This window comes from Homo sapiens, chromosome 6 (genome assembly GCF_000001405.40).
Source record: "Homo sapiens chromosome 6, GRCh38.p14 Primary Assembly".
NCBI classification, from domain to species: domain Eukaryota; kingdom Metazoa; phylum Chordata; class Mammalia; order Primates; family Hominidae; genus Homo; species Homo sapiens.
Window position 1 is genome coordinate 34,125,176 of NC_000006.12, and position 12,759 is coordinate 34,137,934.

Below are 12,759 nucleotides of genomic sequence, written 5' to 3' on the forward strand. Positions count from 1 at the left end.
TGTTCACCAGGATGGTCTCGATCTCCTGACCTCGTGATCCGCCCGCCTTGGCTTCCCAAAGGACGCTTACCTTTTAACTCTGCAGGAATGAGCCTGTTTGCCCATCCAGTCACCGCACGCTAAAGCTGACATCCTGCCTGCCTCCATTCCAAACCCCCCATACCTCAGGGTTCCCCTCGGAGGAAGCAGGCTTGAGAGGACTGCAGGGTGGGTGGGGCGCTCCCTGGAGAAGAAAACCAAGGACTCGAGGCATCTGGGTCAGTGGCCAGCTGAGGCTACTAGGTGTCCAAAAAAAGACCCTGGGCTCACAGTCTTATCAACCTGCTGGGGATCCAGGAATCCAATGCTCCCCGAACTCCCCCATGACTGTGACAAGCTGCTAGGCTTGAGAGCAACTAGAGCAAAGCAACTTCTGCCCCACTGGCCCCAATCCACAGGGAAGGGCCTGCCCAAGGGCACGCAGAGGATTGGCTGCCAGTAGCCACGGGGGCTCTGAGCTTCCCCTCAGGGCTCCTGGGGCTGCCCAATGCCAGGGTTCCCCTCCTTCCACGTCCCTTCCCCTCTCTATTCAGGCTCAGGCCTGGCTCTGGTCTGGAGGTTCCCCTTCCCAGGCTCTCACCACAGTGGGGGTTTGGGGGAAAGAGAGACTATCTCGGCAGGGGGCTTCTCTGCCCTCCCCTCAGGAGAACTGCCCCTGACAGTCACCCTCAGCAAGACCTACTTCGGACAACCCTTTCTCTCCATCCCCAGCACCTCACGAGCACTCCAGCATCTATTGAATCCTATTCTGTATCCCTAGCCTCCCCTGAGCACCTCCTGAGGGCTTTGGGCACATTATCGCTTCTGCCAGCTGGGTATCATCACACCCATTTCACAGGCGAGTAAACTGACGCTTGTAGAGGCCATGCAGTAAGTAAGCATCAGGCCAGGTCTCAAACCCACCCCTAGCTGGTGGTCAAGAAGCAGGAGAGCAGAGTGGTGAAAAAAGGTAGATTCAGGGCCAGATGGCCTGGGCTCAAATCCAGGCTCCACCACTTACTAGCTGTGTGACCTTGGGCAAGTTGCTTAGCTTCTCTGTGCCTTAGTTCTCAGTTCTGCAAAATAGGGATAACAACTGTATACCTGCCCCTGGGGTTGCTATGAGGGTTAGGACCAGCCTGGCACAGGGTAAGTGCTATGTAAATGTTCCAATTATTTCACCTCAGTCACCTCTTAGAGAGGGTCCCTCGTTCAGCCCCCACCCCCAACATTTACAGAGCAAGCCCTGTTGGGACAAATCTCTAATGACAGCCTAAAATGGTACATGGCAATCCCCCCTGACTAGGAGCAAAGCTTTAGGTGAAAGGAATTCCCTGAGTCAGTGGGGACCTGGAGAAGGTGTTTTGAGGGGAAGAAACATATCCAGGTGACCCTGGATACCACCAGTAGTGGGCACTAGTGGGCACTGGCTTGACCCAATGGTAAGGTAGGTCCAGCCACACCCATCCCCACAGCCAGGAGCTCGCAGAGAGCTCCCAAGACTTCAGCTCCCAAGACCAGCCCAGCTGTTGCTGCAGACATGGGGGCTGCAGAGGTCTCCCTCCCATTCCCCATCCCTCCATGAGTCCATTTGGCGAGGGTTTCCTGAGGGCCACCGTCTGCCTGCATCAGCTGGGAGTTCTATGGGTGGGGCGTAGAGCCTAGCGGGGGCCAGCTCTGTCTCTGTCTCCTCTACTCAGTTCTGTGCTTGTAGCTTGACAGCAGCCCTAGACAAGACACAAGTGAATCGGCATGACTGTGTTCCCATAAACCTTTATTTATGGACACAGAAATTTGAGTTTCATATGATTTTCCAGTATCATGACATTATTTTTCTTTGTATTTTGTTTTTCAACCCTTTAAAACATAAAGGCCTTTTTTAGCTCATGAACTGTACAAAACCAGGCCAGATTTGGCTCCTAGTCTATCGTTTGCTAACCCCTGGGCTAGAGGGGAACTCAATAGCAAAAAGGAAAACAAATGTGTACATGACTGCAACTGTGATGAGCGCCATCAAGGAAAAGAACAGGGAAAGAGACAGAATAGCCAGGGGCCAGGGAGCTTCTCCGAAGAGAGGCCATTTAAGCTCAAGGCTGAATGAGAAAGATCCAGCTTCAAAGAGTGGGAAGAGAAGACTCCAGACAGCAAGGCAAGCAGGTGCAAAGGCCCTGCAGTTGGAAAATAGCATGGTGTCTTCAAGGAGCATAAAGAAAACAGTATGACTGGTGTGGGCAGTGCCCAGAGAGACAAAGGGACATCAGGGGCACCAGGTAGCACAGGGCCTCTCAGACAGGAAAGGAGTTCACATTTTAATCTAAGAGCAACGGGAAGCCAATAAAAGGTTTAAGCAGAGGGTTGAGTGGATTCCATCTGGGTTTTAGAAAGATCTCTCCGGCTGCTGAGTGAAGGTTTGGCTGTGGAGAGGCCATTTGGAGGCAGGGAGAGGAAAGACCAGGCTTCTGTAATGGGCTGGGTAAGAGACTATGGGGATGGAGGCCGTGAGGAGTTGTCATGCCCAGGACAAGTTCTGAAAGTGGAGCCTGCAGGGTGAGCTGACGAACAGAAAGACGGTGGTCAAAAATGCCTCCAGATTCCTTGGCCTGGTCAAGATGGGTGCAGTAGGGTGGGTGGGCTCTCTCTAGAGTTCCTCCTGGCTGTGTAGTGAAAACACATAAAGACACAAAGCCACGTCCTCGACAGAACATCTTGTGGGATCTAAGACAGTGTTCCCCCAGGGCCACACCCATAGCCCCGGCTCCAGAAGCAGCCAAGAGCCCAGGGGGCACATGCAGCCCAACATGGGACGAGGGGAGGGAACTCACACCGCCAGGCTAGGGGTGGCACATACAGGCCACCTCTGCTCCCCCTTCCCATGCCCCATTTCGTGATAGCAAGAAATTCTCATTACTCAAAGTTAAGTTGTCTGCTCGGTCTCAACACTGAGTGCTGCACTCGTGGCAGGAAGACGCAAGAGGCCCAGCAGATGGTGGGGAACTCTCCGGGATCAGCCTTAAAGGTCACCGTCTGTCGCTGCCTGCCCGCTCCATCCTCTTCCGCATCGCCGGAGTCCCTCATGCTGACTTAAGGCCCAGCTACAAGCTGTGCTGTGACATTTCCTGTGGGCTGACTGTGTGCCAGGCACCATGCTAGGCCTTCTTGGACCTTAACTCTTTTTTTTTTCTTTTCTTTTTTTTTTTTTTTTGAGACTGAGTTTCGCTCTTGTCGCCCAGGCTGGGATGCAATGGTAGGATCTCGCTGACTACAACCTCTGCCTCCCGGGTTCAAGCGATTCATCTGCCTCAGCCTCCCAAGTAGCTGGGATTACAGGTAACTGCCACCACGCCCAGCTAATTATTGTATTTTTAGTAGAGACGGGGTTTTACCATGTTGGCCAGGCTGGTCTCGAACTCCTGACCTCAAGTGATCTGCCCACCTCAGCCTCCCAAAGTGCTGGGATTACAGGCGTGAGCCACCACACCTAGCTGGACCTTAATTTTTAATCCCCGTGCTGTCCTATGAGGCTGGCACCATTATCATCTCTATTTTACAAATGAGGAAACTGAGGCAGAGAAGGGTTAAGCAGTTTGCCAGGGTGGTCAGACCTCAGGCTGCCTGGCTCCAGAGTCCAAATGCTTACCCCCATGCTGTGCAGCGCCCCCTTCTCCAAGCCTTAGCTTCTTCCACTGCAAAATGAATAAAAGACTCAAAGAAATTATTTCTGGATCCCCCTGAGCTCTTACAGGTACAGAATTTGGAAACTGCTTCCCTCTGGGGGTGTCTCCAGTCTGCTCTTCCTCCCCCGAACAATGACTTTTCAGGAAAAGGTATTTTTTTTTTTTGAGATGGAGTCTCACTCTGTCACCCAGGCTGGAGTGCAGTGGTGCGATCTCGGCTCACTGCAACCTCTGCCTCCCGGGCTCAAGTGATTCTCCTGCCTCAGCCTGCCGAGTGGCTGGGATTACAGGCACATGCCACCACACCTGGCTAATTTTTGTATTTTTAGTAGAGACGGGGTTTCACCATGTTGTCCAGGCTGGTCTCGAACTCCTGACCTCAGGTGATCCACCCGCGTTGGCCTCCCAATGTGCTGGGATTACAGGTGTGAGCCACTGCGCCAGCCACAGAAAGGTCTTATGGGCTCATTCACAGTATGGTGTAAATAACTGACATGGTAAGTGGAGGTGAGGTAACTAGTGGATCAGGGATTCAAACCCAGGCCTGACTTTCTCCACAACCTGGGCTGGGCCCACAACAGTGCATTGTACAGGCTACAACCACTGGGCTTGGGTGCCCACCAAAAGGTATTCTTCACACCCATCAGCACCCCTGTCCTGAAAGAATGGGACAAATTGCAAATGAAGGAAGGGGTGGGAGCAGGGAAGTTAGGGATAGAAGCTGTCAGACCTATGAGTTCCCAGAGTCAGGCCTTCTGGTCCGCAACAGAGGCCTGTTCAAGTCCCACTTCTGACTCAGCTGTCTCTTGAGCAGGCAGTCTCCCAGGAGTCAGGCCTGGGAGAGGGCACCCGGCTTTGAGCCCTGCCCTGTCATGTTATCAGGGTTCAGCCTCCACATCTCTAGAGCAAGAGGTTGGCCCCTTCCAGCTCTGAGCCTTGTGAGTTTTGCTCATATCCTGACCCTGACTGCACTCCATTAGCATTCTCCATGCAGGAAATCACCTGAGTGCCCCCACACCCAGGGCTCCCCTCTGAGCCAAGCACCGGAAGTCCACCTCTTGCAGGAAGGAAAGCTATCATCACAGCCTCTGGTGCCAAGTTCCCAGCAGGCCACATTAACCCATCATTAGGGGAGCAGGGCGGGGGCTGCAGTGGTGCCCTTTGAAATGGACACCTGGTGGTGGGCGCAGGTCCCCTCCCCCAAGGCATCCCTCCCTCACCCTCTCCTTCCCGAGGCTCCTGCTCCCGACCTCCCTCCCCAAAGTTCAATCTTTTTGCTTCTGTAAATGGCTTTTAAGTTTCTCACCCAGCCTCTCATTTCTATCAGTTTAATTATTGAGGAGGCCTCTTGTCACCAGCCTGGAACATTAAGGCTGTTAAAAGGGACCCAGGGAATGCAGGCCACAGCCGGCTGGTTTTCTCCCCGCTGTCCCTCCCTTTCCTTGCTGTCCTGCTTTCTTCTCCACTCCCCAGGTCTCTACCTCCCGGTCCTGCCTTGCTCTCTGTGCAGCCTGAGGGGCTCCTGACCCCTGCCCCAACCACTCCATCCTGTGTTCTGAGGAGGCACAGACCAAACTGAGACCACACCATGCTCCTCTGTGGCCAGACAAACAGGGGACACCATGAACCCCCAGGATGGTAAGGCTCTTCACCCCAGGCCCCTCACCCCACCCTGGCCCTTCCCCATGCTGGGAGAGGTTAGCACAGCAGCTGCAGCCCACTCCCCTGTCTGGGGCACTGAGCGTCTCATCTCAAAATATCTATGTTCCCAAGAACACACTTTAAGACCTAACTCTGAGTGACCATTCCTTGAGCCTTCGCCATGTACCAAGTGATGGGGCACTCTCAGCTCCTTTGGGCCTCTCCACCTCCCTGTAAAGTAGGCACTCACTCCGCTCTGGAAAACAGGGGAAGGGATCCTCACCAATGTCACAGGTTCAAGGGCTGGACCAGGCTGTTTTACCATCTTTCTAAAAGACCCAGAGTCACTAAAGGAGTTTAATTACAACTCAGATAAAGAGAATACAGCAGCCTCCCTTGTGGGGTGGCCTTCCTGGAGGCTGGGGATCTGTGCCCCACCCTGCCAGGCTGACAAGGAGGAGTCCAAGGCTTGTCCCCTCTGCTGGATGGCCCAGGCTGCCTCAGCTCCCAGGCCAGGGCCAGGAGGGCTGAAGTGATGACTCATCTGGCCTGAGCCATCACTAGGCCCTGGCCTGGGACAGCCCAGCCAGCTCCTCCTCTCCTTTTGTCTCCAGTCCCCACCATAAAACTGGGTGCGGTGGGAGGACTGAACCAGGCTACCATTCCCAAACCATCCTGCCAAAGAACTGCAAAAGATGATCACAGCGACACAGCCCCCGGGGATTGTTCCAGCTGCCTACCGCGAGGGCAGAAATGTTTTCAAGTTTCCTGCTTCATCTTCAAACTACGTACATCCATGTTCAACCACTGATCATAAAAAAATAAAAAACAAAACCATGTACAAATTTTGCAGTCTTCATAATGCATCCATTTGCTTTAAAATTAAAATTGTGTTTTCATCCAACTCATCAAGTAAAACCAACACTCCAGGAAAAGCCCTATATTCGAGGCCCACAGAGCATACCAGAGACATGACTGCATACACAGGTGGGCGCACACGTGCTCTTCAGCCCCAGAGCAGCCAATGGCAAAAGTCCTGCCCCACCCAGACTTGTGACAGCACAACTCTGGCCTCCTCCCTTTGCCACTCCCGCTCACCAGCTTCCTCACCCCCACCCCAACACTGGGACCATCCTTTCCCTTCATCTCCACTTCTACCTGGGCCCCCAGACATGCCCCCAAGTCCTGATGCATCATGGGAAGTGGGCTAATGGCTTCCAGAAAGAGTCCCGGTGAGAGTGGTCCAGGCTCAGCTCTCCCCACCGTGCCTAGTGCAAAACAGCCTCTCTCAGTCTACTTCCTAGCCCTGGAGACTTTGGGGAGACAAAGGTCAACTCCAGAGGCCGAGAATCTGACACCAGGGTGAGGGAGGGACCAAGCAGCTTCCTCTGTGTCCCTTCCTCTTCCCTCTCCCCATTCTCTCCTCCCCTCCCTACACACACAAACATGCACAAACACACACACATGCACACACACACACACACAGAGCAAACAAGACAGGCTCCAAGAGAGAAACGGGCACATAATTATTGGTAAAATGCTTGTAATGTTTTTCTCTCTACCCGGTAGCTTTCAGTTGTTTTAGCAGCTTAGCGAAGCACTTGGCTCCAATTGAATTGCAAATCAGCAGCTCTTGCCCCAGGAAGAGAGGAAAGGAGGCGGCAAGGAGGGGGCTGGGAGGGATTCCAGAAGGAAAGGGAGAAAGGTGTGCATGGAAGAAGGGCAGAAGGAAGGAAATCACAGAGGGAAGCTTGGTTCAGGGCCCAGGGCACCAGAAACAGAGACCGCCTACTCTCTCAGGCCTCAGTTTTCCCGTCCTCATCTGCATTCTCTGCAGGCTCAGCAGCCCCACACCCCATCCAAAAAATGAGGACACATTCTCCAACCATAATCTCGGGTAGGGCAGGAGGGCCACAGGGAGCTTCCTCAACTACCCAGAAGAAAAACATCTTTCTTGGGAATTGCAATTATATGAAAACAGTGTCAAAACAAAAGTCTTGCTTTTTCTCCCTGGCAATCTCCAGCATTCATATTTCCATTCTTCTTATCTGTCTGTCTGTCTGTCTATCCACCTGCGTATCTTTTTATCTGTCTGTCTGCCTATCTCCTCCTCCCTCTGTCGTTCTCCAGAACATCCTTTTCCTCCTGGTACAGAATTCCCCAGAGAGGAGTGGAGTTGCTCACCGAGCCTCCAGCGGCAGGTGCTGTTTCAGCACCTCGGTCAGCGCCACAAGGCTGGGTCCCGATGCCTTTCATCTGCTGTGCCTGTGCTGAGACCACAAGACAACATACTGAAACCAGGAAGAGCTGCCCCAAATTCTCAGACACTGCTCTGAGGAAAAAACTGTCCCTTAGAGTGAGGAAAAAAGGAGGAAAAAGGGGCTGGTCGGCCAGGCCTGGCACCCTGAAGTGGGGCGGGCAGAGTCCGTTGGGGGAAGAGCACCTCAGGGGACCAACCAAGGCACTGACCTTGAAGAGGCGAAGGATGTTGGCCACCATGATGGAGACCGAGCTCCCTGAAGCACCGATGACACCCACCACACGTTCAGGCTTGGTGATGATGGGTGGGCCGCCACTGCCACAGCGGACCTCTGTGCCATCCTTCTCGATGAGCGCCTGCACAAAGGTCAGCGACTGCTCGAGGGCATGGGTGTCCCTGGAGCAGGTGTCCAGAATGCGGGCGCCCAGCGTGATGTTAGGCAGCAGGTCCGGGTCGTTGTTGATGCGATCCAGGGCGAACAGCATGGCCTCCAGCCGGTGGATGCCCTTTTCCTTCTTAAGTTCTCCACAGGGCTTGCCCTCTGAGCCCCGGCCATGCACCGGGAACAGGCCTCCCAGTGTGATGTCCCCATCTATGCGGATGGAATTCATGTGAGGGTGGCCTTTGGGCTTTCCCAGGGAGGAAGGCATCCAGGGGCCGTAAAGGCTGAGGAGCAGGCAAAGGGGCAGCCGGGCCCACCACCAGCCCAAGCCTCTCTTCCCAGGCATCTCGGAAATCCCTAGAGACCCATGAACGGCAGGCCCACTCCTAGCCCTGGCAGGCCCCTGGCCCCACGGCCTGGGTGGGCATGGGCAGGGCAGCTTCAGCAGCAGGGGGACTGAGGGCAGCCAACCGCGTAGCCCATGCTGCTACCCTCTCCCACCTCCTTGTCACTCGGGCCAAGCACAGTTGCCCGCACAGTCCAGGCCCACAGACAGCAGGCAGTGGCCGGGGTTGCAGGAAGGCTCTGATCCTTGTCCCGTCCTGCAGGCCTGTTCTCGGTGGATGACTGTGGAAAGGGCAGAATGCTCCTAGCTTGGCGTATCTTGGCATCAAGGAGAAAACAGCTCCAATCCTCTCCTCCTACCAACCTTAGAAGGGGAAGAGAGAGAGAGAATATCAAACAGAAGCCCAAAGAAGACATTAGCTAGTCTCATCTCTCATCAGGAGCCTGAGAGAAGGAGATGCTAGAGGTTATCGCCGAAGATTCCATAAATCTCCTGAACTTGGTTTCCTCTCCGCCATTGCTCAAATCTGGCTTAAATGGGAGAGTGTATGGCAGAAATTAGGTCATGTTTGAAGCTTCCTAAGGCCTGTACCCACTGCTATCAGTAGCCCGGGCATCAGAGAGCACAATCCCCAGGAACAGCCTCGAACTGGCTTGGAAGGAAGAGGGGCCTTCCTCAACACATCCACATGAAGGAGAGCAAGAAACAGGTCCTATGGGCCCAATCCCATTACAGAGATGAGGAAACTGAGGCCCAGAGCAGGAGAGCATTTTGCCTGAGTCACGCAGGGAGTGTGCAGTTTAATTACAAGCTCAGATAAAGCTTGGACAATGCCTACTGCAGCCCAGCTTTCCTGCTGTCAGCTCTGGAACCCGAGACACTTTGGCTCTTCCGGGACTCAGAGACCCAGGAACACAAATAAGGCCCCCTCAAGAAATCATCCTGGAACGCAGTGGTGTAGGCTGGGAGCTGCTCACTCTGAAGGCCAAGGGAAGGCCAGGGAGGAGCTGAGGCTGTGGGGGTTCTGGATTTTCATCCTGAATCAGGGAGCGCAAGGTGGACCCTGTACTCTCCTGCTTCCACCCCAGCTACACAGCTACCCCAGGCAGAGCAGGGGAAACCCAGCAGCCCCTGCATGAGGAGCAGGCCTCCATTCAGCTTGCACATCCTCCCTCCCTCCCTCCCTCCCTGACTTTCTTCATCTCTCCATCTCTCCACTGCTCTTTCTCCCCACCCCCACTTCCTCCCTCTGAGAGCGGGGCTCGGGTTATGGCCTGAGCTACTGGCACATTATTAAGATCATCATCATCATTATTGTTGTTGTGATTAAATATTTATCTGCAAGAGTAGAGAAGAGAACACCAGCCCTTCCTCATTCTCACTGCTAATTTGGGCTAATTTCCCCCCGGGGTTACTTCCCTCACCCCAGCCTCCCCACTCAAAGCCAGCAACCTCCCTCCCCACCACTTAGGAGGCCACAGGGAGAAGGGATGGAAGCTGAGTCAGGGCTTGGCTGGGGGCCAAACCCAAGGCCCCCTTCCCCAGGGGTTTGTCAAATGAAGACCAGCAAGCCACTTGTCCATTCTGTGCCTCAGTTTCCCCAAGCAGTTGGAAGAGGAGCTTGTGTTGGGATTGCGAGGCTTCCCCAGAGATGTGGTCCCTCCATCAAGACCAAGCCGTGGTCTCAGGGTCATCCCTCCCCCGTCATTCCCCCTACAGAATCCCTGACTGCTCCAGTTCTGGGCCAAGGGGAGGGAAGGAAGCTGCAGTGCCCCAGAGTCCAGCCTCAGCTCCTGAGCTTCTCCAGCCTTCTAGACCCTCATTTCACATTTCACCCCTTCCTCAAAATGCTCCCTTCATATTACCTCCTCAGAAACCAAGAATATGGCTACTAATTCTCCCTGGCCCCATGCTGCAGGTGAACCGGTAGCCCAGAGGTATCACATAATTCTCCCAAAGTCACACAGCAAATCAAGATGCATCCAGGACTAGAAGCCATGTCAGCCACACTGGGAAGCCCCAGCGAAGCTGACAGAAAGTTTCATAATACCACCCTCTCCCCTGGAGCCAGGAGCCAGGGACCTAGGACTAGGGGCCAAGGCCAGTGCTTTGAGGAAGGCTTAAGAGCCATTAAAATACAAGGCGGGGAGCTGCACCTGTATGGAGCTGTCATCATCACTCATTCCTTCCTGTGAATGAATTTATCAGATCTCTGTCCTAGATGGCTATGCATAGTGACAGGAGGTGGGGTATGAGTTGCTGATGCAAGTACCAGGTAATTCAGAAGAGAGAAACCATAAGAGCCATAGACGAATCTCATGGTCCTGCTGCAGTAGCTAGAGATAAGGCACATCCCTGCTAGTTCTCAGGAAAATCTGTAAAATGGGTGAGTTGGAGTGAAATCCAATCTGGGGGCCATACTGCCCCTGCTGACAAATTTTCAGTTGTTGCAATGATGGAGGAGAGTCGGCTACTAGCCCGTGTGCAGGCAGGGGGCAGAGATGCTAACTGGCCAGCTGTGGGTGGGAGAGCCTGCACAGTTAAACACCATCCTGTCCAAATGCCGACGGTGCCTCGTGGAGAAATCACAGCAAAAGACAACCACTGCCATGTGCCAAGCACTGTTCTAAGTGCTTTACCTACATTTTCTCATGTAATCCCCACATCCCTATGAGCTTCATGGTATTTTTATCCCTATCTCACAGATGAGGAAGCCAAGGCACCAAGTGCTTAAGCAACATCTAGCCAGGGGCACAGAGCTTGTGCAGGCTGCCCGTGCCCCTGGCTGCTCCTCTGTGCTGGCCCAGAGGATCTCTCAGGCCTTGCCAGTTCTAAGGTCCTGTGAGTTTATGATCGGTTTCCATGAATTTCAAACAGAGGGCTTTTTGGCATCATGACAGGCTGTGTGCTGGGGCTACAGCAGGGCAGATTCAGGCTGGGAGACCAATGCACAGCAGCTTTTGAAGTCAGGCCCTGCTTAGGCTTCCAGATCCTTCGTGAGGGCTCACACTGGCTTCTCCTTGAGGCCGGAGCACGTCTGGGCTGAGCAGTGCATGCGCGCGTGCGGACACACACACACACACACACACACACACACACACACACACACGGGGAAGGACAGATGCCATGGGGGAAGGAGGCCTCCAAGAGGAGAAAGGCAAACACCCGCAGATTAGAATCAAGAGCCTGGAGCCTCAAGCTGGTCAGATCCCCTGCGAGACTTCCCTCCCACAGGACTGGGTCCCAGCCCCTGCCCACAGGTCCCTATCCACCCCTCAGTCCCACCAGGCCTGCCTTTTCTGAGCTTCTCCAGAGAGCTGGGCAAGCCACTGCCTCTTTTAGCTTCCCCTCCCTCCTTTGATCATGTAACAGGAACAAGGGAAAAGTAAAAATACCCCATGAGTGAAAGGAGCCACTGAGAGCAGAGGCAGGGTGTGGTGGGGTGGGTTGGGGTGGGGGCCAGGCGGATGCTCCCTTCCCCCGCAGGGCCTGCTTCCTTCTGCAGAGGGAAGAGCTGGGGGCACATAGAAGGGGTCCTTCTTTAAAGTCCTTGCCCAGTTTTCAGACACTCCCCCGCCAATTCCAAAATAGCCAGGAGAGCTCAAGCCTGGGTCAGTTAGGGGCATCCTTCCCCAGGTGAAATCATCGGGATGACTGTGAGTCCAAGCCAGTGTGGGCCCCACCCCCAGACGGGCCTCTTCCCCCTTTCCTTTCCTTCTCCCTTCCCCACCACCCTCTCCCAGTCTCTCTCCTCTTCTCTGGCTCCACTAGGTTCCTTGGTTCCAGGGGAGGACAGAGCCAGGCATGGAGGAATGAGAGCCCTGAGGGGCAGGGATGAGAGCGACTGGGTCACCTCCACATAGCAACAGCTCTCAGGCCAACAGTGTTTTCCAGAACATTCTTTCCAGTGAATGGGGATGTAAGGGGAGCTGGTGGGGGACAGCTGCAGACTACCCCTTTCCCCAACCAACAGTCAGGGTAAGGGGGATGGGGGAGTCCCCACACATCCCAGCTGGGACCTCTCTGTTATCTAGGGCTTTTGTGCAGGAACTCCAGGAACCTGCCTTGTGGCCACTTCTAAGTCCCTTTTTTTTCTTTTTTTTTTGAGACAGGGTCTCATTCTGTTGCCTAGGCTGGAGTGCAGTGGTGCAATCACGACTCACTGCAGCCTCAACCTCTCAGGCTCAAGCGATCCTCCTACCTCAGCCTCCTGAACAGCTGGGACTACAGGAATGCGCCATCATGCCCACATAATTTTTTTTTTTTTTTTTTTTTTGCAGAGATGACATCTCACTATGTCGCTTGCCCAGGCTGGTCTCGAACTCCTGAGCTCAAGCGATCCTCCAGCCTCAGCCTCCCAAAGTACTGGGAATACAGGTGTCAGCCACTTTGCCCGGCCCTCTTCTTAGTATAATATTAACAAGCAGGACCTTCGTGC

General features: G+C 54.2%; 1 protein-coding gene across 4 annotated transcripts in view, besides 2 other annotated features; it reads right to left on the reverse strand.

The window, feature by feature from the left end:
- The window catches only part of GRM4 (glutamate metabotropic receptor 4), a 136,980-nt gene that overhangs the window by 106,533 nt on the left and 17,688 nt on the right, over positions 1-12,759 (reverse strand). For 3 of the 4 annotated variants that reach the window (NM_001282847.2, NM_001256811.3, NM_000841.4), the window contains exon 2: positions 7,803-8,684. The exons of the other annotated variant lie outside the window; for it this stretch is intronic. Coding sequence is in view for 2 of the 3 variants with exons in the window: in NM_001256811.3 (NP_001243740.1) it covers positions 7,803-8,321 (519 nt within the window). In the remaining variant the exon portion in view is untranslated. The remainder of the gene's footprint in view (positions 1-7,802; positions 8,685-12,759) is intronic. 4 annotated transcript variants of the gene reach the window in all.
- Positions 6,363-7,189: an enhancer, noted in NCBI's record as "NANOG-H3K27ac-H3K4me1 hESC enhancer chr6:34099315-34100141 (GRCh37/hg19 assembly coordinates)". NCBI's record gives its function as "activates a minimal SCP1, AML or CMV promoter by ChIP-STARR-seq in primed H9 embryonic stem cells {active_cell/tissue: H9 hESC(primed)}" and the evidence as "EXISTENCE:reporter gene assay evidence [ECO:0000049][PMID:30033119]".
- Positions 7,397-7,691: a silencer, noted in NCBI's record as "tiled region #15272; HepG2 Repressive non-DNase unmatched - State 10:DNaseD, and K562 Repressive non-DNase unmatched - State 12:CtcfO". NCBI's record gives its function as "represses a minimal TATA promoter and a strong SV40 promoter by Sharpr-MPRA in HepG2 and K562 cells {active_cell/tissue: HepG2 | K562}" and the evidence as "EXISTENCE:reporter gene assay evidence [ECO:0000049][PMID:27701403]".